This window comes from Homo sapiens, chromosome 14 (genome assembly GCF_000001405.40).
Source record: "Homo sapiens chromosome 14, GRCh38.p14 Primary Assembly".
Taxonomy (NCBI): Eukaryota; Metazoa; Chordata; class Mammalia; order Primates; family Hominidae; genus Homo; species Homo sapiens.
Genome location: NC_000014.9, coordinates 71,186,936 through 71,211,733, shown reverse-complemented (window position 1 = coordinate 71,211,733; position 24,798 = coordinate 71,186,936). Strand labels below are relative to the sequence as shown.

The 24,798-nt window shown below is 46.7% G+C and overlaps 3 annotated features.

Annotated features, from left to right (window-relative positions):
• Positions 22,404 to 23,603: an enhancer, noted in NCBI's record as "CDK7 strongly-dependent group 2 enhancer chr14:71654848-71656047 (GRCh37/hg19 assembly coordinates)". NCBI's record gives its function as "activates an origin of replication core promoter dependent on BRD2, BRD4, P300/CBP, MED14 and CDK7 cofactors, with strong dependence on CDK7, by STARR-seq in HCT116 cells {active_cell/tissue: HCT116}" and the evidence as "EXISTENCE:reporter gene assay evidence [ECO:0000049][PMID:35650434]".
• Positions 22,404 to 24,111: a biological region, named in NCBI's record as "CDK7 strongly-dependent group 2 enhancer GRCh37_chr14:71654848-71656047".
• Positions 23,359 to 24,111: an enhancer, noted in NCBI's record as "H3K27ac-H3K4me1 hESC enhancer chr14:71654340-71655092 (GRCh37/hg19 assembly coordinates)". NCBI's record gives its function as "activates a minimal SCP1, AML or CMV promoter by ChIP-STARR-seq in naive H9 embryonic stem cells {active_cell/tissue: H9 hESC(naive)}" and the evidence as "EXISTENCE:reporter gene assay evidence [ECO:0000049][PMID:30033119]".

The window sequence follows — 24,798 nt, the reverse complement described above, 5'->3', positions numbered from 1 at the left end:
GTGACAAAGCAAGACCTTGTCTCAAAGAACAAAAACAAAACAAAACAAAAAAAAACAAAAAAAAGGAGTGATCAAAACATCTGGTTTTTAAAACTTCAGGGACATGAGGAGACAATGATCTCTAAGGTACACAAGTCCTTTGTTTTTAGAAAGAATCACTAGATTTTTTTTTACAGCAAACTCTCATAGTTAATAACAATATGTTGTATATTTGAAAATTGCTAAGAGAGTAGATCTTAAGTGTTCTCACTACAAAAAATAAGTGTGTGAGGTAATGCATACGTTAAATAGCTTGATTTAGCCATTCTACAATGTGTGTGTGTGTGTGTATATATATATAAACATCATGTTTTATACCATAAATATATACAATCTTTACTTGCCAATTTAAAAAAGAAAAAGCCAACTCTCAAAAGAGAGGAGTGGTAGAGATGGTGCTAATGCTCTGTCCAGTTCTTTGTTCTTTGTTCTTTGTTCTTTTTATTCTGAGCATTTTGGTGGAGGCAGCGTGGCCCAGGAGGAGGATGGGGCTGGAAGGCAGGCTGTGTAGCGGGGATGCTGGCTGGGCCCTTTCCTAGCTGTGTGACCTTGGGCAACTTACATAACCTCCTGAGCCATAGTCTCTTTATCTAAAAATGGGCATAATAAGAGAATAACTGTTGTAAAAAATGAAATGAAAGAATGCATGTCGGCTGGGCATGGTGGCTCACGCCTGTAATCCCAGCACTTTGGGAGGCCGAGGCAGGTGGATCACCTGAGGCCAGGAGTTCGAGGCCAGCCTGGCCAATATGGTGAAACCCTGTCTCTACTAAAAATACAAAAATTAGCCAGGCGTGGTGGCACGTACCTGTAGTCCCAGCTACTCGGGAAGCTGAGGCAGGAGAATTGCTTGAATTCTTGAATTGAATTCTTGAATTGCGGCGGTGGTTGCAGTGAGCCAAGATTGTGCCACTGCACTCCAGCCTAGGTGACAGAGTGAGACTGTCTAAAAATGAAAAAAAGAAGAATGCATGTCAACCCTTAGCTCACTACTTGACTCATGATAGAATCTCAGGAAGACAGATATTTTGTGAAAGGGCGAGGATAGAAGGTGGAATAGGATGAAAGCAGGCATCTCCAGTGGGTGTCATGAATGGGCCTCACCCCTTTTAAGCTCCGTGAGCCTCTGTCTTTGTCCTGCCCATCCTGGAATCTCCAGCACCAACCAGGGGACTGGTGGAGAGTGGGCTCTAAGGAAATGCTTGTTAGACTGAATAGAGCCTTGGCTGAGCCCTCATGGAGGACAGATTTGCAGAAAGGGAAGGAAGACATGTGGGAGAGGAAAGGACAGAGAGAGAGGAGTGAGGCAGCAGGAGGGGACAAAGGCCACACATTGGGACAAAGATTCCCAGTGATAACCTCTAACTGTGCCCTGTCTTTAGAGCCCCCATAAAATGAAAGGACTTGCAATGGAATTGTTTCAAAAGTGCTTTGGAAGCCAGATGGGAAGCTTATGTAATTGTTTTTACTTGCGAGCTCAAGTGAAAATAATGAGCCCTTTTCTTGCCTGCAGGGGAAGAAGTTTTTGGTTGAGACATCCTCCACCTTTCTCTGTCCACCACAGCTGGGACAGAGCCCTCCCATGTGCTCTGCAGATGCCCTTCGGAAAAGCTGCCTCTTCTATGCGGTGCTTCTGGGCAGCTGGGGAGCAGGCGTGGGGACAAGTGCTGGGAGGTAGGGCAGGGCGGGGAGAACTGGATGTTCCATCCTCACAACGAAACACATCCCACATCTCCTCCCAGAGGCAAAGAGACATCAAAAGAGGACCAAATTCTGAGGCTGGGTATAGGATGGTGGGGTGGGGACTAGAGAGAGACTTTTAAGGCTTTTAATCCTTAAAGACTAGTTATAGATATGTAGTATATGAAAGCTGTTGGAAAATGGTAAAGTGCTGTACAAATACAGTCATCATTCGATATCTGAGGGGGATTGATTCCAGGACCCCCTCACCCCAGGACACCAAAATCCAAGGATGCTTAAGTCCACAATATAAAATGGTGTAGTATTTGCATATAACCTACACACAGCCTCCCATATACTTTAAATCATCTCTAGGTTACTTTTAAAACCTAATAAAATGTAAGCGCTATACAAATGGTCATTACACTGTATTGATTTTTTAAATTGTATTATTTTTATTGTTGTTGTTGTTGTTGTTTAATGTTTTCAATCTGCAATTGGTTGAGTCCATGGATGCGGACCCAGCAGGTAGGGAAGGCTGACTATATAAAGCTTTGTTAGTTATTAGTGTAGGGAGAAGAAAAAATACCAAAACAAGAGGTAGGGCAGGATTCTTCTGCCTGCCTTGCTGCTCACCCCTTGATGGGCAGGCCCACTGCAAGCCTCTCTGGATCTTCATTTTTCACCTGTAAAACAAGGTTAATCTCCCTGATCCTACCCATGGTCAAAAATGATCCCCGGCTTTTTCACGCTCCCAAGGCACGTGGCCCAGGTTTTTACTTGACCTGTATTTCACTCTGTCTAGTGCGTGATTTTTCTCAATACTTCAGCTAATTGTTTACACAACTCCTGACTCAGCAGATTATAAGCTCCATGAAGGCAGGGACTGATGGGGAACATAGTCAATAATTTTTCATTTTCAGTCATTTACTTAAATATTTATTGAGGTCACTAGGCACTGTGTTAAACTCCAGAAATATAGCAGCGAGCAACTCAGACAAAATCTCAGCTCTCTCACTTTGCTTTCTGGTGGGGAAGATAGATAGTAATGATAAAACATAACATAAACAGGAAAAATAAAAGACAGCAGGGCTCCTGTGTTGCACACCTGCAGGGGGCACTGTTTGCACCAATGTAATATTAATGGCTGTCTCTAATGTGCAAAGGCAGCGGCTCTGGGGATGCTATATCCCCAGGGTCTGGCCTAATGCTTGATATGTGGTAAGCATTCTGTAAATATTTATTCAAGAATAAGTGAATGAATAAATGAGTGGTCTTAGTGTGGTAAAGTCTTTTAATATCCAACTATATCCATGTTTCTCTCTTTTGGCATACACCTGCTGGCTCCTTGGAGTTAGTAAAGCCATGGGACTGATTCTGCCCAGTGAGATGTAAGCAGAAGTGTTGGAATTTACTTCTGGATGAGCACCTGACCACCTCCAGCTGTTTCTTCCCCTGCTGCAATGACTAGGGCAGCTGCAAGATAGTGGATTCTCCATTGCCCTGAGCCCCTGAGTGATTTTGTGGAGCAGAGCAGACCCTCATTGGATATGAAGCATTTGCAAGATGAGCCTTTGTTATGTTAAGGCCCCAAGACTGTGGGGTTGTTTGTTACCATGGCATAGCCCAACCCATTCTGACTGATGGTCTCACTCTCCTGTAAGCTATCTGAGGGTGGGGCCGTGGGGCTCAGCATAGGAGCAATCTGTAAATGTTCAAAAAGAATTGATAGAAGAAAGAGTAATTCACATTGATTAATAAATATTATCAGTCTCTTTTCCCTCTGCTTGAATTCCTCAGCTCTTAGGAAACAGGATGGCTAGATTGTTCATTTCCAATGGGTGGGTTTCCTTTTATCCCTAAAGCCCTCTCTGTGGCAGGTGAGGCAATGCTGCCCTTTTCCACACATGAAAAAAACACCAGTTTCTTTCCATGCGACTCAAACAATCTGGAGGAAGGACATAGGAAAACCCCCAGAGTTGGAGCAAATGGGGTCTTTGCCTACTCAAGCCTCTTCAGTGTGGCTTGCATGAAACAGAGAGATATTTGCAGCTGTACTGTGAATCCAGACAAGTACGGACAAAAATTCTCCATTCCCCACAGGGTGGAGAATACACTGCTATAGATCTCTTTCCTTAGACCAGGGGTCCTCAGACCGTGGCGTGCATCTGAGTCCCCTGGAGGGCTGATTCAAACAGATTGTCAGTGCCCACCCCAGAATCTGTGATGTAATTTGTTTGGAGTGGGGACTGGGAATGTGCATTTCTAATAAACTCTCTGATGAAGCTGATGCTACAAATCCAGGGACTATATTTGGAGAAACCATTGCATACGACTGATGTTCTCTCTGGCTTTCAAAGTCAAGAGTAAATGCAACACCTGTGAGACTAGCGCTATAACCTGTTATTAGTCATTAACAACATGGGATCAACTAATTTTTTTCAGATTACCCAGATGATAAGGGGAGACAAGATGGAGGAAATAAAAGTTTCAGGAAGGGGTGGGCCTGGGAAAGAATACAGTTTTGAGGACTGCTGCCCAGAGGAGGGACTGACGATGTCTTAAAAGAAGGTCCTGGGGTTGAGAGCCAGAAGGAACCAGGGGCCAATATGGGTGCAGAGGTGGCCGTGGAAAGACAAATTTGAGGGCTTATCCTTGCATAGTGAAAAGAGGGCCTGGACTTGGAGTCCAAAATCCTGCAGGCCTTTCCCATGAGACCTTGTAGCTGCTGGCAGCAGCTGAGGTGAGCCACTTTGTTAAGTTGTTAAGCAGACTTAACAGCTCTTGTAGGGAGAGCGTGCCAGGGTTAACTCAGCCTCCAGCCTTAACCTCTTTTGCACGAGGAGGTAGGTAAGCCTTTCCCAGGACCCCATGCCCAGTGCACTGTCTGCATCGAGCCTGTGTTCCAGCATCTTCCTGCTGGCTTATTATCAGTGGTCCCCAGCAGAACAGAGTTGTGCTGTGCCAAGGGTTAGCGTAGGTGGCTGTGACTCACTCAGCCTCCTGGGGAAGCAGATGCTGCCACTGTAACCAGCGCTGCCAGGGAAACAGGCTAAATAAATCCCAGATCCTTGTAGAGGGCAGAGAACAAGCTGCCTGCAGCCAGTGAGCCAGCAGCTCTGGTTCTGTTCAGGTTCAGCCACTGCAACAGCCTGTGTCCAGCTCTCAGCTTCGGGACTAACTGGGGACTGGGATTGAGAACAGAAACAACAGAGCCTTGTGCAGAGGCTGGAGCATGTGACGAGAGGTGATGTATTAGTCCGTTTTCATGCTGCTGATAAGACGTCCTCGAGACTGGGTAATTTATAAAGAAAAAGAGGTTTAATGGACTCACAGTTCCACATGGCTGGGGAGGCCTCACAATCATGGCGGAAGGCAAGGGAAGAACAAAGGCAGGTCTTACATGGTGGCAGGCAAAGTGAGAACGAGAACCAAGTGAAAGGGGTTTCCCCTTATAAAACCATCAGATCTCGTGATACTTATTCACTACCAAGAGAACAGTATGGGGGAAACCATGCCCATGATTCATTTATCTCCCACTGGGTCCCTCCTACAAAATGTGGGAATTATGGGAGCTAACGATGAGATTTGGGTGGGGACACAGCCAAACCATATCAAGTGATCAGAAGGCTGTGTCTGATGATGGGTGCCCATGCACAGCTGCAGCACCCATGCTAAGCCTTAGTCACTAGGCTGATGAGTTCACACAGATCCCTCTCTGAAAATCTGTGATATTTGTGCTTACTGTTGGGTTGGGGAGAAGAGATGAGAAACTCAACTCTTTTTTTTTTAAGACAGGGTCTCACTCTGTCACCCAGGCTGGAGTGCATTGGTGCGATCTTGACTCACTGCAACCTCTGCTTCCTTGGTTCAAGCTATTCTCATGCCTCAGCTTCCTAAGTAGCTGGGACTATAGGCACGGGACACCACATCTGGCTAATTTTTGCATTTCTTGGTAGAGATGGGATTTCACCATGTTGGCCAGGCTGGTCTTGAACTCCTGATCTCAAGTGATTCACCCGCCTTGGCCTCCCAAAGTGCTGGGATTACAGACGTGAGCCACTGTGCCTGGCCAAGAAACTCACTCTTGATTCTCTTCTCCTTCCTATTTGGAAAGGAGCAGCTCCCTCACTAGACAATGTGAAGCTGCCCTCTATTCCAAATGGCCAGAAATCGACCCCCTGAGAAGTGTCTGCTTTGTCATAAACCAAGAAGAGGAAACTGAGGCCAGAAGATGCAATGACCTAGCCAAAGCCCCACAGAGGCTTTTAGAGGCAGCGTCAGGCTGGGCTCCTGGTATCCTGGACACAGAGCCTCATCATTTCCCACTGGACACTGCACCCCATGGAAACAATTGTATGGACCTTAGGGAATTTGCTTTACCATGAATATCTGCTCTTACAGGCAGTGGGTGGTGCCATTAGTAACATACACTGCTTTTTCCATGAGCAGCAGGGAGTCTCTAGCCAACTTTCTCCAACTTCATCAACTCCTAATCCAGGCTAATGAGTCCCTGGCTCTACCAGTGAGATAGTGGAAATCCCAAGAGTTTTTAGGTTTGCCTAACATCCTATCATTGCAAGGTCAGGAACAGAACCAGAGGTGGGCCTCCTGGGTTTTCAAACCAGCCCTCCTGAGGTAGTGAATGTCCAAACTCATCAGTCTCACCTGATGATTCTCAGGTAATTTCCCTAGAAGTCCCCACTCCCTATTCCCAGACAAGGCTCACAACATGGCCCAGTGGTATTAGCACATTTTTATGGCCCCAGGTTTCCCTGAGGTAGGAGGCAAGACTTGACTCTGGAGGCTCGGCTCAGACACTGGACCAGGTTGAGGACTAGCTAAAACAGGGAGGAGGCGAAAGCACCTCTCCATAAGACACATCCACCAGCATGCCATGTCAGTTTACCATTGCCATGGCTACACCAGGAAGTTACCAGCCCTTCCATGGTAATGACCTGACAACCCATAAGTTACCACTCTTTTTCTAGAAATTTCTGCATAATCTTCCCCTTAATTTGCATATTATTAAAAGTGGGTATACACATGACTGCAGAACTGCCTCTGAGCTGCCATTCTGGGTGCACTGCCCTGCCTAGGGGTAGCCCTGCTCTCCTGCTGCTGCACACTGCTGCTTCAATCAAAGTTGCTGTCTAACACCACTGGCTCACCCTAGAATTCTTTCCTGGATGAAACTAAGAACCCTCCTGGGTTAAGCCCCAACTTAGGGGCTCATCTGCCCTGCATTACTCCCAGGCTCCCAGCAGCCACCTCAAGCCTTCCTTGCTTCTCAAGCCCCACAGAGGGGGCTGTGAGGGACCTTCTCTCTCTACCTTCCTCTTAGATTTCACAGGAGGAATAAGGGCCACTGGATGGGCCTCACTGTCCTTCCTGACCTTGCCTTCCTGTCTCCTGTTTAAGGAAAATCCCTTTTCCTGCATCCTGATCCCTTCCCTCCCTGCCATATCTTTGCTCCATAAATTATCTCCCCTCTCCTAATTATTCAACATCCTCCTTTCTACAAGTTCCTCCTCCTCAGCCTGTAAACTTGTTTATGTCTCTCCCACATAAAAGAAAAAAACCAGCTACATCAAATGCGCATTCCTCCCTGGTGACTCTCCTTCTCTACCTGAAACGCCTCTTATCAGAGTAACCTGCACTTTTTGCCTCCCCTTTCTTTCCTCTCAATGGGTCCCAATCTCTTTCTGTAACTTGCTGTGTAAGCTTGGGCAAGTGACTTAACCTCTCTGAGCCTCTCAGTGTATTCATCCATAAAATGAAAATAATCATACTTTCTTTGTAGAGTTGTGAAAATTTAATGAAATTCCACACACAAAACTCCCAACACAGTGCGTGGCACATGGTGGGTGTTGAGTAAATGGAGTGGCTGCTTTAGTTATTTCGATCCAATGCTGTCTGAATCTGGCCCTGTTGCTCTCTTGAAATTGTTCCTGCAAGGTCACCAAGAGCCTTTTTTTTTTTTTTTTTTTTTTTTTGAGACAGAGTCTCACTCTGTTGCCAGGCTGGAGTGCAGTAGCGCCATCTCAGCTCACTGCAAGCTCCGCCTCCCAGGTTCAAGCGATTCTCCTGCCTCAGCCTCCTGAGTAGCTGGGACTACAGGTGCATGCCACCATGTCCGGCTAATTTTTTTTTTTTTGTATTTTTAGTAGAGATGGGGTTTCACCATGTTGACCAGGATGGTCTCAATATCCTGACCTTGTGATCTGCCCACCTCAGCCTCCAAAAGTGCTGGGATTACAGGCGTGAGCCACTGCGCCCAGCCAAGAGCCTTCTGATGACCTGTTACACGCTATCCCCCTCAGTGCCCATCCTGCTTGGCCACTCTTCAGCATTGTGGACTTTACCCTCAGTCTAGAGTTTTCCTTTCCTTTTCTTGTCTGCTCCTTCTCCATCGCTTTCCCTCACTCTTCCTCCACCCGTTTCTGCAATGCGTGCCCAGGTCTCTGTCCTTGTGGTTCTTATTGCACATTCCCGTGGGCTTTCTCATCCATGTCTAGGAATTACATGAGTCTTCCCGATTAATCTTCATAAAGCATGAAGAGTCCTGAGTTGTCATTCCCTTTTTCAACAGTTGTCAGTGGTTCCCTGTCTCCCTCAGCAGGAAACCCTCTGTCCCCAGCACTGGCTCACAGGGATCTCCAGTGCTGGATCCCGGGATATGCTAGGTTTGGCTCTTGAACATCCACTGCACCCCTCGTCCTTTAATCCACCTGCAGTGGATGCAGGGAGGGGCCCCCTAGATCCCTCTGCAGCAGTTATTTCCCCCGTTGCTGGGTGTGCTGTTAGCAGACCACCCTGAGCTGTCAGCCCTCTTTGGGAATTGTCTCAGCTGAAGGGATTCACTTTGTCCAACATCACACCCTTTCCCAGAGCAGCCTGCATTCCGTGACATCAGTGTGGGAGTGTAAATTCTTGAGCCCTGTGCCCTAACTCAGGAAATCTCTGAGGAGTTGCAACTCCAAAGCTCCTCAGAGGTCAGCTGAGGCCTTGGTGGAGACTGCATCAACAGTTGCAGCCCAACTTCTCCTGCCCAATCCTGCCCCCTTCCCTTCTCTTCCCCTCTCCTTTGCTCCCCTTCCCCAGATGTTACCCCGGGGAGCACTCAACAGACTCCCTGCACATTCATCTCCATCACAGTCCACTTCTCAAGGACACAGCCCAGGACACTACTACCCACATCACCCTACTTGCCTCACTTGAGGAATTCCCCTGCTGCATTCTTTCCTTCCTTGATTTCTTGGTTCACACCGTCCCCTCTAATTATCCTGTCCTTTCCTCCTGTCTCTACCTGTCAAAATGCTCCTTGTTCTTCAAGGCTCTGCTCAAATGGCACCTTCCGCATGACGTTTTTATTTGATGTTCTCTGGTTTACCTCTCTCCACCTCTAAGGTAGAAGATACCACTCCCTTCTTTTTGCCTGGGCTCTGAAATTGCCCCAGAACCAATTTGTGATGGTTATTTTATTTTATTTTTGAAGCAAGGTCTTGCTCTGTCACCCAGGCTGGAGTATAGTGACTTGACCTCAGCTCACTGCTACCTCCACCACCCGGCTCAAGCAATCCTCTTACCTCAGCCCCGCCAAACAGCTAGGACCACAGGTGTGTGCCACCACACCTGGCTAATTTTTTGTATTTTTGGTAGAGACAAAGTTTCACCATGTTACCCAGGCTGGTCAAACTCCTAAGCTCAAGATATCCACCCATCTCAGCCTCCCAAAGTGCTGGGATTACAGGTGTGAGCCACTGCACCCGGCCTGTGATGGTTAATTTTAATGTTTCAACTTAGCTGATCCATGGAGTGCCCAGATAGTTGGTCAAATATTATTCTGGATGTTTCTGGATGAGATGAATACTTAAGCCAGCAGACTGAATAAAGCAGATTTCTCTCCCTAATGTGTGAGGGCCTCATTCAATCAGCCAAAGGCCTGAATAGAACAAAAAGGGTGACCTCCCAAGTAAGAATTCTTCCTGCCTAACAACCTTGGAACTGGGACACTAGCTTTATTCCCTGCTTTTGGACTTGAACTGAAATGTTGGCTCTTCCTGAGTCTCAGGCCTGCTGGCCTCCAAACTGGAACTGTTTCACCTGTTCTCCTGGTTTTCAGGCCTTCGGACTTGGACTGGAACTAAACTATGAGCTCTCTTGGGTCTCAGCTTGTCGACTCACCCAGCAAATCTCGGGACTTGCCAGCTTCTGTAATTGTGTGAGCCAGTTCCTTATAATAAATATCTTCTTCTATATATATACATCCTATTGGTTATGTTTCTCTGGAGAACCCTAACAAATACTATGGGAATAATAGATTTGGTCTGAAAATTAAGTGTTTTCATGCCTGTAGAAGCACTCTGAACAGTCCCTATACGTAGTTATCCCAGCACAATGAATGTTAGCTATTATTATTATGTGTGTCTTATTATCCTAGGCCTAGGATAATGTTTTAATAATTTTTATCTGACATATCAAGCCCAGAATAAATATTTGCTGATGGAACCCAATTATCTCCTGGCTTAAATGCTCCCACCCATGTATTACTATGATTTCAGCTCTCACTGCATCCCCAGCTGTTTCCAGGGTCTCTCTCTCTCTCTCTCTCTTTTTTAGAGTTAGAATCTTGCTCTGTTATCTAGGCTGGAGTATAGTGGTGCAATCATAGCTCAATGCAGTCTTGAACTCCTGGCCTCAAGACATCCTCCTACCTCATCCTCCAGAGTAGCTGAGACTACAATTGTGTCCTGCCACCACTCCCAGGCTAATTTTTATGTTGCTTTGGTAGGGATGCAGTCTCACTATGTTGCCTAGGCTGTTCTTGAACTGCTGGCTTCAAGTGATCCTCCTGCCTCAGCCTCCCGAAGTGCTGGGGTTACAAGTGTGAGCCACCGTGCCCGGCCATTTCCAGGGGTGTCTAAGGACATGCCTCCCATGTGTCCTGTCTGTCAGTTGCACTCATCACGATGCCTAGCATCTCAGCTCTTCCTCCTTGTCCTAGCCCCTCCCTCTCATCCTTGCTGGTGTCCACCATGGGCACATCAACATTTGTCTCATGTTCCCCACAGGTCCAGTTGTCAGGGCACAAGAGGGGAGGTGGCTTCCAAGTAGAGGGGTAGGGGAGAGTCTGCTCTGAGTCACTCACCTTCTCTTGAGCCCCAAAGAAGCTATACTTGTGCTCAAAGTTTCTTGAATAGCCTCCTTCAGCTTCAACCCTTGCCCTCCCTCCCTACCTCCCACCTCCAAATTGGACTCTAAACGAGTTCACAGGACCAACCAAAAAAAGAGATGTCTGGTCTGCTCTTCATCTCCTCTGGCCTTTTCTCTACCAAAAATCTTGTATCTTCCTGAGGCTACAGAAGAAGAACTTCCAGGAATGGAGACAGGAGAGCAGATACTGACGGGAGTGGGTAGCAGGGAGAAGAGCAGGGGATTGACCATGCAGGGGTAGCAGCAGCTGCTGCACAAAAGTCCCCAGGCACACTTAGTATATTCTTGTGAGATGCAGCAGAATCCCACCAAAAGACGAGCGAGGGTGAGACAGAGTAGGGACGGGACTCGGCCAACCCCGACTAAAGTATTTTTCCACACATGCCCGCTGACCACCAGGCCTTGTTGCACCACCCCCACCGGCACTATACCCGCTGACCAGAGCTTGCAAAGTGTCTGAGGAAACTAAGATAAGCAATATTCCACCATAAATCTTACTCAGTTGCCCACATGTGCATAGGCCAGGAGAATGACCGATTCTAATCCCTAGCCACATTGTAATTCTAAAATCTCTGCCCAGGAAGGGGTTTTTATCCACCACTTTCTGATCATGTGATGCATGTGTTGCATGATTCCTTACTGCATCTGTGCATCTTGCACTCCACCTGGCACATGGAATGATGCTCACCCACCTCGTGAATTACGCACGTGACCATCCTTAAGACGCCGTAATGCACTCTCCTTGGGGAGCCAGCTGGACAACCCTTCCTCCTGCACTGTCTCCCTTATGTCCAATCTCTCTGGCCATAGGTTTTAATAAAGTCTTGTCTGGAAAACTTGCTTGACCTCATGTTAATTTCTATTGCATGGGAGCCTAAGACCCTGTGGTCGTTAACCAGGGTAGAGCCCTCAGGGACTGAAAGTGGAGGCTCTGATTCTTAGTCTTGGAGCTGATGGGTCTTTGAAAGATGTGGAAGGAAATGTTTCCTTTGACCAGAGTCCATAGCTAAGAATCACCAGGTAGGCAGAACTGGCTCATCTCCTAGGGGAGGTAGAGAGGAGGCTCCACTTACACAGACTTTGCAGGGTCAGATTTCATGGTTGAAGGCAGCAGTCCTCTCTGCCCAGGCACTTGCAGCTTTGTGAGTGGCCAGTCTGACCATCATCCTCTTCCCTTTGGAGGACTGGGCACAGCCAGAGCCTCTCACACTGTGAGACGTCATTCCCATTGGAGTCTGCCCACTGGGAAGACACAGAAGCTCTTGACTCAAGGTGCTGCTGGAGATGGCAAGGCCATTCTGTGATGCCAGAGCCCAGGTTGTCAGTTTGCTTTCCCCTAGATTTCAGTACCCATCTCCTGTCCCTGGGCCTGAACAGGCTTCTGGAAAATGTACAGAAAGGCCAGCATACTTACAGCCTCACACAGATCTCCCCAAAGCCCTCTACGTACACCAAAATGTAGACTCCTACCTCATGGTCTAGAAGGCAGTCCCTCTCATGCAAGACTACTTGTCAGATGATCAATCTGTCTGGTTGGAGTAGTTTTCAGAACAGAAGGCTCTCTGCTTGATTAGGAAGTCTGTAGAATGGACTTTGGTTAGTAGGAATGTTGTATTAGGCTGTTCTTATATTGCTATAAAGAAATACCTGAGACTGGGGAATTTATAAAGAAAATAAACTTAATTCACTGACAGTACTGCAGGCTGTACAAGAAGCATGGTGCTGGCATCTGCTCAGCTTCTATTAAGGCCTCAGGAAGCTTACAATCATGGCAGAAGGCAAAGGGGGAGCAGGCATGTCACATGGCGAAAGCAGGAGCACACGTGAGTGGGGTGGGAGGTGCCACACACTTTTAAATAATCAGATCTAGTAAGAGCTTACTCACTCTGGTGAAGATAGCACCAAGCCACAGAGATTCGTCCCCATGGGCCAAACACGCCCCACCTGGCCCCACCTCCAGCAGTAGTGATTACATTTTAACATGAGATTTGGGTGGAGACAAATATCCAAACTGTGTCAAATGTCTTCCTGATTTTGATCTGAATTCTGCTTCCTTGTGATAATCGAAATGAGTGACTGTGCAAAAGTCTCAATCAATCAAGTTTACTAAGCCAGATTTGGCGTGTGTCTGGGAAAAACATGAGCTATTTTTCTGAAGAGGTTTTCGGGAGGTTTAGTATTTATACATTTCCTTCAAGGGGGTAGGCATGCAGGAAGAGAGCCAGGTTGGTGGTAAAGGGAATGGTTACATTCTTGTGAGCCTTTTGTTAATGCCCAGGAAATCTACATTTTACATAAGATAAGGGGAATGTTTCCAGAGAAAAAATGAGTGAAAGAAGAATCAATTATACAGACATCTCTGGGTAGGGGAGGAATGACTGCTCTCTTGTTTCTGCACCTGGGAATGTATGCTTGTAATTGACATTATCAGTCTGGAATGAAACAGACTTTCATTTTAGGAGCTAGACTTAGATTGTAGACCTAAAGTTACATTTGGCATGTCCTTATTTATGGGAGGCCAGCAAAAAAAAATAATAATTTACTTATGAATGATCTCTGGGGGTGGTCCTTTGTAGATGCCTGAGGCCTTACCCTTGTGTGGGGATCTGGCTAATGCAAGATGCTAGTAACAGCTACGTGGAAGGGGGTTCTGCCTGCTTAACCTCTTTTTGCACAAGGAGCATGGGAGTCCTGAGATCTTTTAATTTTCCTTTAGACTTGTAACTTCTACCCACCTCGTTCTGCTCTCTGGTCCTCAGAAGAAAATATCTAATCCATTCTCTAATTGGTCCTATGGGAGGTAAGGATGGAATTGTTTAAAGTGGATGTCTGGGGAGGCTAAAGGACTTGTGAAACAAGCTACAAGTGGAATTGGGGTTAGAACCCAAGTGTCTTAATTTCCCGGGTCAGTTCTCTTTCCATCATTCTGTATTTCATAATCCTTAACAATTGTTGTTGAATACTTACTGTGTGTGCCTGGAATACTGGGTGGGTGTTGGAGTCATAGGAGACCATGACCCTCTCTGCAGAGAGCTATCCGTTCAGCTCAGGGGATGTTCCTTGTGGAATAAACACGCACATACACACACACACACTCTCTCTCTCTCTCACACACATACACACACACACACACACACACACACACACACACACACACACACACACAATTCAAAGCACTTGAATCCTGGCCTCATCTTCACCCAGGAAGGTCAGCCTGGAAAACCAGCCTTCATCCTTGCTTTCAGCTGCTCCCTCCAGCACAAGCCAACAGACAGGGAGGAAGGGAAACCCAAGAAGGGCAGAGCCTGAACTCGAAAGGAAGAAGAAAGGCCGGAAGAAGAGTTTGAAAATGACAGCCACCAACCTTGGCTTGGAAAGAAGGTCCAGAGCCCACGGGGGTGTGTAGGGGAGGGAGCGGGTGGAGTCCATCGTGCTCACTAAGTGCCAAAGACAGTGGGGAGGTAGGGGAGCTGGGCCCGAGCCCCAGAACTGCAAACTGGAAATGCCAGGGCCACACTCAAGCAAGGCAGGCCCCAGTCATTTCCAAGGACCTGGACTTCTGGGCCAGACTTCACCACTACCAGAGATATGCTTTCATCTTTCTTAGAGGGAAGGCGTTCTGATTCCAGCGTCCTGCTGAGTCCAGCACCAACAGTAGTGCCTGGTAATCCAGCTGCATTCCCTGCACCCACCCACCTCCGCCACCCAGGATGATAGTACTTACACGGCTGAGTCATTTAGGCACAGAGAGACCCAAACCCTACTCTCTGGAGCTTGTGGATGCAAACGCTGACATACCTCCCAGATGCTCAGAAGTAGAACAAGTAGGGACTTAGTGGTCCAAACAACATTTACAGCCCAGCCTACCTTCTTTCACGGGGAGGGAGCTGGGAAAGGGAGCTGTGGCCTCTCCAAAGGCTGCACTTGGCTCTAGATGTCTGACTGTCAAGGAGCTGAAGGGCTCATGTCAGAATCCAGGGCTCCCAGTGTGGATCTGGAGAAAGTCAGCTCCAAAGGGGAGGAAGCAATATTCCTAAGTAACAATTATTAATAAGGATTCCCAAACAGATGAGACATGGAAGACAGATAGGGCTCTAGTTCTGTCTCTGCCATGAACAGCTGTATGGCCTTGGGAAGTCACTACACCTCTCTGAACTTTGGTTATGTCAGCTCTCACATGAGACATGATCTGCTCCACCTCCTTTGAAGGTGGTTGGGATCTGACATATATGAAAGTGGTTTGAAAAAGTTTAAATGGAAGGATGTTTTCTTATTCCGAATGAATGTTCTAGAAGGGTACCAGGCAAGGTCTTTTAATAAGGAATATTTTCTATTTTCTGGAGAATGTGCTTGTTTAAATATAGCTGTGTGGAAGCAGGCTCTGGAACACAGGACCTCGGCCTCCCACTGTGTCTGTCTCTTGGTGGGACGAAAGAAGCTTGTGAAATACAGCTGGGGCTTTTTAGGGGGAGTCTGTCCACTCCAAGGAACCTGCTGGAGTCGCAGCAGAGATTCTAGGATGCCGTGCAAATACCAGTGGAGCTCCTACACTGATGGGTGCTTAGTGTCAGGGTTTTAAAAGGCAAAGACCCTGCCCGGGAAGATCTTGGAGTGCAATGGATGAGGCAGAGGGTCTCAGAAAGCAACAAAAGGTAAGAGCCAAAGCAGAGGCTTATGTGTACGGAGGAGATTAATCAATGCTAGAGAAACCAGGGAAGGCTTCAAAGAAGAGGAGCCAAGTGGCCTATACAGATGCCAATGGTCGTGACAGACTCATCTGAGCCAAGGCCAGGGCAGAGGATTCGTATTTGAGATCATGGGAAGAAGTTGGGTCTAGGAAGCTGTGAGGCAAAAGAAGCCACAGGAGGAAGGTGCTGCAGAAGCACAAGCAGATCACCAGCCAGGGAAACAGGGGCCAGAGATTGCAGTCAGCATCCCTGAGTCTAGAGCTTGGACCACGTGAGAGTGGAGCCCACCTACAAACAGCTCGGGAACATCCAAAGCTTCTAGGTTGACCCATGGATCTATGGCCTGCATTTTTTCCTCAGTTTCACGGGCCACCTGGTGTAGGGCACATGGAATGATCCTCCTGACTTAAAGGACCAGGTTCAGCACAGACAGTGAATAGGACTTCCAAAGATGGAGATGGGAGATGATGGGTGGGAAGGTAGGGGATGAAATGCCAGTGAAGGCCCCTGTGTGATGACAGGCCCGGCATGGGATGGTAGAGGCCACTGTCAGAATCAGGGAAGGCTGCGAAATCTGATGTGATTTTATTTGGTGAGGGTGGGGGTTAAAATGAAAGGCAAGGATGGAAAGTCAGGGAAGGCCAGCGCTTAATGCACACCCAGAAATCTGGACTTTATGCTGCAGGCAGTGGGGAGCCGTTGGCTGGTTTTGAGAATATCTCACATGGCTGATTCTTCTGGCAACAATGTGGGGAAACTCAGGTGAAAAAGACCTCTTGGCAAGAAGAAATAGAGACCTTAACAAGAGCAGGAGTAGTAGAGAATAAAATATTTCAAAGAAATTCTGGAGGCAGAATCAATAATACCTCGTGATAGGTTGAAAATGGGAACCAGGCATGAAGAAAAAGCCCAAGGAGATTTTAAATTGCAAAAGCTCGTGTTGAGGAAGATGGTGATATAAACAGAGAAAATACAGGACTCAAAATTGGAAATATGAAAAGCAGAGGATGTTTATGAGAAAAAAATGATGAATTCAGTTGTAAATATGTTGAAATTGAGGTATGTGTCAGGTCACCTGTGTGTCAGCATCCATTAGATATTTCGAAACACAAGTCTCCAGCGAAAGAGGGAGGTAGATTGGAGATGAGCAACAAAGTCATGGAAATAACTGATATTTAAAAGGAGAGGGTGTAAAATAAAAGGAGAAAAGGGCTTGAAAAGAAAACCATGAGACATGCACAAGCATAAGTTCTCAGGAAGGAAAGAAGAATCAAGGAAGGAGGCAAAGATGTTGTGGTTGACAAAGGAGAAGGGAAAAACTGAGTGCTCTATTCCTGATACTGAGGAAGGCACTGCAGAAACAGGGTCAAGACATTAGTCAGGTCTCTTTTATTGTAAGGGAGTGAAAATCAACTCCAATAATGTCAATGTCAAGTGGATTTATTGGCTTGAAATTCAACCGGTGTGGAATAGTGATATTGGCTGAAGTGGCACTTGTTTTGCAGCCTTCCAATGTTGATGTCCCCCTCTCAACAGCATGCAGTTTTCCTTTTGAGGCATTTACTCTTCCCTGAGAGATGCAGTCTGGTGGGGCCCATCCCTAACTAAGGATCAGGCTTGTGCCTCCAGCTGGGCCAATCTAACAGAGTCTCTACAACTTGAATCTTGAACAGAATGAAATGACAAAGACAGAAGGGTAGCATCCTGCCTCTCAGGGTTCTGTCTGCATAAACTGTTCCACTATGTGATTATTCTTATCTATCTTGCATCTTAGGCCTTAAAGTGGCCTGGATTCCCACCTGTTCCCAAGCTTGGCTCTTCAGACTTCCATCATTTCTCTGAAAATCTGACATCCTTCAAATAAATTTTCTTTGGCTGGAAATAACAAGGCTGCACGCAACTAAGAAATGCTGACTGATAGACCAGCCTTAGGGACACACTTCCACCTGACTTCCTCAGCCATTAGGACCTGGCCTCGGCAGCCTGAAGACCAAAGGAGAAAAATTCAGGGTGGAGCAATTGTGTGCTGTGGGGGTCTGTCCTGCAGACCCTGACTCAGTGACAGGTGAATAACATACACTGACACAGATATTATGCTTGTCAGTCTGGCTGAGAGTCCCAGCCACTTATAGACTCTAAGGAGACTGCTGTCAGTCATGGCCCCTGACTCACTGGCCCTCCTGGCATTTATTCAGCACACATTAGATGACAAACGTCTCAAGTAAACACCATTAGAGGGTAATCAACCTGGTTGCCTTCTCCCAGAGAGTGCCATCCTGCCTGCAAATGATCAGAGGTTAGTTTTAGAACCACATGAGTAAACAGGCTATTTAGGTAGACTCCTCTACATTCCTATGTTAATTACCCTTGCTATAGCTTAAAGAGGATTAGGCTGCCTTCAGCCAAACTATCTAAAGCTATGCAAAAACCTTTTGCCCTTCCAAGAAACTTTTGTGTTTTATTTTATAATTTTCTCCACCATCCTGACTGAACCCCTACGGCATACACTGCTTGACAGTCACTGAGGCCTGGGATCACGTAAAAGGAGAGTGGCCCTTACTCCTTAATTTGACAGAGTGGAGGAAGGAGCCATTCCCCTAAAGATGGGTAGATAAAACTGTACCTGCGAAGCTGGGACATCTCACCAAGATGCAGATTGATTCCGTGGGGCTGGGGCTGATCCCTTGTTGAGACTGATGCTGCTGGTGCCTGGTCCTCATTTCAGTAGCAAAGCCCTTGGGGGCATAAATAGGGAGATTGTGTAGGCTGAAGAGGGGGGCATTTAGGCAGTTTAGAACATCTTCGGTAATCAAAACAGCTGTTTCAGTAGCGTTACTGGGTTGAAAGCCCAATGACAGTGAGCTGAGGGAGTTGGAGGGAGGGAGGGCAGATGACGAGCAGTGGAGCACCTGAGAGCACAGCAACACCTGCCCTCCTTGGGGTGTCACAAGGATGTGTTTCTCAGGGGAGTTCTGGATAAATACATGCCAGTGTTTGCGGGAGGAGGACAGGTGCATGGAAGCCTGTCCCACTCGCACCTGCCCAGTCTTGCCTTCTGCTCCTCCCAGCACTCGCCATGCCGAGCCTCATGGGCTTCAGGTGGTGCGACCCCTCAACTTGCCCTCTCCTTTGCCCTTTGGGTACTCTTGGCCCCTTAGTGGCTTTCTGCACTTTTCTCCCCTCTCTTTCTCCATCCTGTGCAATGTTTTCTCATCTTTCCTGTCACCTCTGAGAACTGTTTGAGGTAAAATAGAAGACTAGGGCCGGGCGTGGTGGCTCACACCTCTAATCCCAGCACTTTGGGAGGCCAAGGTAGGTGGATCACTTGAGGTCAGGAGTTCAAGACCAGCCTGGCCAACATGGTGAAACCCTGTCTCTACTAAAAATACAAAAATTAGCTGAGTGTGATGGTACACACTTGTAATCCCAGTTACTTGGGAGGCTGAGGTGGGAGGATCACTTGAACCCGGGAGGCAGAGGTTGCAGTGGGCCAAGATCATGCCACTACACTCCAGCTGGAGGGGACAGAGTGAGACTCCATCTCAAAAAAGAAAAAAAGAAAAAAAGAAGATGGGACATGAGTCGGATTATGTCATTTCCCTGCTCAAAACCCTTCAATGGCTCTCATGTTACCCCAGTAAAAGCCCAAATCCTCCCAGTGGCTCCCAGGGCCTTCCGTGATCTGGCTACCCACTCCTCTCAGTCCTCCTCTTCCATCCTCCACCTCATTCTCAACACTGGGGCCACAGAAGATTCCTCACTTTTCCTCAAACACACTACACAGGCTCCCGACTTTGGTTCCTTACACTTCAGTACATAGTTGGTTCCATCTCTTTCTTCACATCTTTGCATGAAAGTCACCCTCTCCACATAATCTTGACCATGCATGTTCGCAGCAGCACTGTTCACAAGGGCCAAAAGGTGGAAGCAACTCAAGTGTCCATCAACAGGTGAATGGATACACAAAATGTGGTCTATCCATATGATGAAATGCTATCTGGCCATATAAAGGAATGAAGTCCTGATGCATACTACAACATGCATGAACGTTGAAAACATTATGTTAAGTTACAGAAGCCAGACACAAAGGACCACATATTGCAGGATTCCATTTATATAAAATGTCCAGAATTGACAGATCTAGAGACACAGACAATGGATCAGTGGTTGCCTAGGGTTGGAGGGAGGCAGGAATGGGGATTGACAGCTAATGGGTACAGAGTTTTTTTCAGGGTGATGAGAATGTTCTACAATTGATTGAGGTAATGGTTGCATAAATCTATGGGTATACTAAAAAACATGTAGTTGTATACTTGAAACAGGTGAATGGTATATGCTATGGTTTAAATATCCCCTCCAGAACTTATTTCGAAATTTAAAATGTAATTGCCATTGTGATGGTATTAAGAGGTGGGTGGGAGCTTTGAGAGGTGATTAGATCATGAGGGCCCTGCCTTCATGAATGAATTAATGCTGTTATTGCAAGACTGGGTTAGGGTTCCAAGGAGCCAGCTTCTGGTAAAAGGATAGGTTTAGCCCCCATTTTTATTGTCCTGCATGCACACGTGCACACCCTGTGGTACTGCAGCATGGAATACTGCTGCATGGAGCTTCTCACCAGAGGTCAGCACCATGCTCTTGGATGTTTCAGCCTCCAGAACTACAAGTCAAATAAGTCTCTTTTCTTTATAAATTACCCAGTCCATGGTACTCTCTGATAGCAGCAGAAAGTGGACTAAGACAGTTTAGTATTAGTCAGAGTTCTCTAGAGCTCAAAAATCAATAGAATATATACGCACACATATATGAAGAGATTTATTATAGGAATTGACTACTCAATTATGGAGTCCAAGAAGTCCCATGATCTGCTGTCTGCTATTAATAGCTAAAGACCCAGAAACGCTGATGGTGTAATTCAGTCTAAATCTGAAGGGCTGTGAATTAGGGAGCTAATAATGTGTATGAGTCCTGGCATGAGTCCAAAAACCTGAGAAGCAAGATCTCTGATGTCTCAGGGCCAGAGAAGATGATGTCTCAGCTCAAACCGGAAGAAAATGTTCCTTTTCTCCACATTTTTGTTCTTTCCAGGCCTTCAAAAGATGGGATGATGCCACTGGGATCGGTGAGGGTGATCTTCTTTACTGGATCTACCTATTCAAATGCTAATTAATCTCTTTCAGAAACACCCTCACTGACACACCAGAAATAATGCTTTAACAGCTGTCCAGATACCCTTTGCCCAGTCAAGTTGACATATAAAATTAATCATCACATATGTGTATTATATCCCAATAAAACTATTATGTCCCCCTCCACCCCGCAAAAGTCATCTTGTTGGATTTGCCCTCACCATTCTATTTAGATGGCAAGCACCTTCCTCACCCAGCCTTCTCAGTCCAGTGTGACTGCTCTATTTCTTCCCAATAACACTAACATAAGTTATGCCACTTACTTTTTAACAAACTATCCTTTTATGTTTCTTGTTTCTCTCTTCCACTACAATGTAAACTCAATGAGGGGAGGAATTATTTTCCTTTTTGTTTTTTTTTTTAATTGACTATAAAGGCTAGAACAGAGTCTGGCATTTTAGTACACTCTCAGTAAATATTTGTTTATAAATGAATGAATGGACAAGTGTGAGAGAAGTGCCGGGAAAGAAGCTTGCTGCTGAATTGCAACATAGCAAGTTGGAGGAAGTTGGAGGACACATTTGGCATCATAATTCTGCATCCAGTACCTCTCCTCTATACCTCTGTTTTCCACATTTGCCAGAGGTAGCTTCCTGCAGGAGCCCACAGGATCCCACGGGAGAGATGTGGCCACGAACTCCCATAAACCTGGAGGCACTGGACAGCACTAGGCAGCTTCCATCTGGAGACTGGCGTGTACCTAAAACGTGCGGTTCTGTGTTTTAAAAAAATTGTGGTAATATATACATAACATAAATTTACCATTTTAACAATTTTTAAGTGTACAGTTCAGTGGCATTAAGTACATTCACACTAATGTGCAACTATCACCACCAACCATCTCCAAAATTTTTCATCTTCCCAAACTAAAACCATACCCATTAAACAATAACTCCCCCTTCCTTTTCCCCCACCTGCTCATAACCATCATTCCACTTTCTGTCTCTATGAACTTAACTACTCTAGGTGCCTCATATGAGTAAAACATACAGTATTTGTCCTTCTATGACTGGCCTATTTCACTTAGCATAATGTCCTTAGGGTTCATCCTTGGTGAGCATGTGTCAGAATTTCTTCCCTTTTTAAGACTGAATAATATTCCATGATATGGATATACCAAATTTTGTTTATCCATTCATCCACTGATAGCCATTTGGATTGCTTCCACCTTTTGGCTATTGTGGATAATGCTGCCATGAACATGGACATCCAAATATCTGTTGGAGATCTTGCTTTCATTATTTTGGGTATATAACCAGAAATGGAATTGCTGGATCATACAGTAACTCCAGGTGTAACTTTTTGAGAAATCGCCATCTGTTTTCCACATGGGTCTGCTCTTTGCATTCTGTGAATTTAAGGATCCTGCTCCAGCCCCTGAGCCCATGTCCACATCAAGAGGAACTTCCTTGTCTTGAGACTCCACACAGGGCTGGTGCTGTGCCTGGTGCTCTGTGCCCATCATCCAGGAGGTAAGTATTCTCATAGCCCCTTTAAAAGAGAGAGGAGGCCAGGTGTGGTGGCTCATGCCTATAATCCCAGCACTTTGGGAGGCTGAGGCAGGGAGATCATTTGAGGTTCTTGAGTTCAAGACCAGTCTGGCCAACATGGTGAAACCCTGTCTCTACTAAAAATACAAAAATTAGCTGGGTGTGGTGACAGGCGCCTGTAATCTCAGCTACTCAGGAGGCTGGGGCAGAAGAATCGCTTGAACCCGGGAGGCGGAGGTTGCAGTGAGCCAGATCACGCAACTGCACTCTAGCCTGGGTGACAGAGTGAGACTCCGTCTCAAAAAAATAAAAAGAGAGGGGAGACTGAGGCCCAGGAAGTTTGTGAGGCCACCCTGGTTCACGAAGCTAGTGGGCAGCAGAGCTGGGATTTGAGTGTAGTTCTCTCTGACTCCAAGTCCTAACTCCCATACCAGCAGTGCCTGGTGGCCTCCTGCAGGTCTAATGGAGTCCATAGATGCATTTTACTTGATCATCATATTTTAAAAATGTATTAGTTTCTATGCGAAATGATATTGTTCCCAACTATTCAGGGCCCCACTCTGTGGGAGACATACACGTCCCTCACTGTGGACATCAGATCTGGCTATGCGCTTTGCTTCGGCTCATCCAGAGTGAAGAAATCACAGAAGCTCACAGTTACCGGCACGTGGTTCAGCCATTGCTCCTTTGCTTTTGCTACAAGAATGGCATGTCCTGGATGAGGAGTACAGATGAAGAATGAGCTCTGTGGGTTTAGGCCACCTAGACAGGAGGGAGGAACTCAGGACACCAAATCCAGGTCCTCTGCCACCTTCCCCTGCACCCTAGGTTATATGCAGTGGCTGAGGGTGGGGAAACTGACTATAGAGACCCTCCATCGGGCGCTCAGCATGGATCTTCCTCAGCTGTTGTTATTTCAGATCCCTGACTTCAGCACCAGCTCCTCTTTATCCGGAGTTCCAGCAGGATCTGAGGGCTGAGAGAGGTAAATAAAATTCTGAGAAACATCTGAAGCCGGTTCCTGGGGCTCCACTCAAGGCCCCTTAATGCTGCCATTCCCCGCATACCTCACCACCCCCCAGCTCCCTTCACTGCACACTGCTCTGCAGAGGAAGGTCATCAGTGTCTGGGATGAAGAGCATTGCAAAGGTCATCAGTGTCTGGGTTGCAGAGCGTTGCCTGGCGCAAGGTAAAGAAACTTATCTTGTTCAACAACAGGATCTTGGGCTTCACTGCCTCAGAGAATATGCTGGCAGCTCCCTGCCCCGACTGGAGAGAGGAGGACACTGCCTTCCCTCCCCTGCAGCCTCTGGAGAAGCTGCGGGGTGACGTGCTAGTCCTGTTTCTCTGAATTTTCAGGGGGGATTAGAGGATCCCTTATAACTCAGTCTCCAGCCTCAAGTTGTGGTCAGGTGGCAGGAGTCCACCTTTCAGGACCTGCCCGGGGAAGTCTGGCTGCCTCCTCAGGTGTGAGAGTTGCTGGAAGCCCCACTTCCTCTGCAGACCCCAGATGAAGAAATTAGGCTTTTCGAGGAGGGGCTGAGAGCTCGAGTCAGTCTAGCTTTGCCTAAGGCCTTAGGAATGCGAGCTATTTATGGTCCCATGGCCCCCACCCCCTTTTGTGCCCTGCAAGTTAAGTCACACAATTTCCTTCTTTTTCTTTTTTTGGCTCATGCCCATTTTCTATACAGTAAGAACCCTGATAAACTGTGCGAGTAACATAAGATCCAATTCACAGGACTTAAACCCGCAGGACTTACTGTTCTAACATAACAAGGAGCCTAGAAGTCCACAGTTCTAGGATGATTTTAGTAACTCAACAGTGTAATGAAATTCCCAGGTTTTTTCTTTCTTTCCTCTCAATTATCCTTGGTATACAGTTTTTCATCCTCATGCTTGTGGCTTAGTAGTTGCAAGAGGGCTGCCACAGCCCCTGTCATCACGTCCATTTTCAAGTCAGGAAGAATAAAGGAAAGGGAGGCACCAGCCACGTTTTCTCCTTTTAACAGAAAAGCAAGGCTTAGAGAGGCCTCCTGCAGAATTTCCCTTATTTGCCTGTGTTAGTTTCTTACTGCTGCTGTAACAAATTGTAACAAACTTATTGGCTCAAAACAATCCAAATGTATTATCTTCTAGTTCTGGAGGTCAACATCCCAAACGGGTTTTACAGGGCTAATATCAAGGTGTCAGCTGACGATGTTCCTTCTAGAGGCTCTAGGGAGGAGAATCCATTTGCTTGCCTTTTCCAGCTTTTTTTTTTTTTTTTTTTTTTTGAGATGAAGTCTCTCACTGTCGCCTGGGCTGGAGTGCAATGGTGCGATCTCGGCTCACTGCAACCTCTGCCTCCCAGGTTCAAGCAATTCTCCTGCCTCAGCCTTCTGAGTAGCTGGGATTACAGGTGTGTGCCACCACACCCAGCTAATTTTTTTCTGTTTTTAGTAGAGACGGGGTTTCACCATATTGGCCAGGCTGGTCTTGAACTTCTGACCTTGTGAT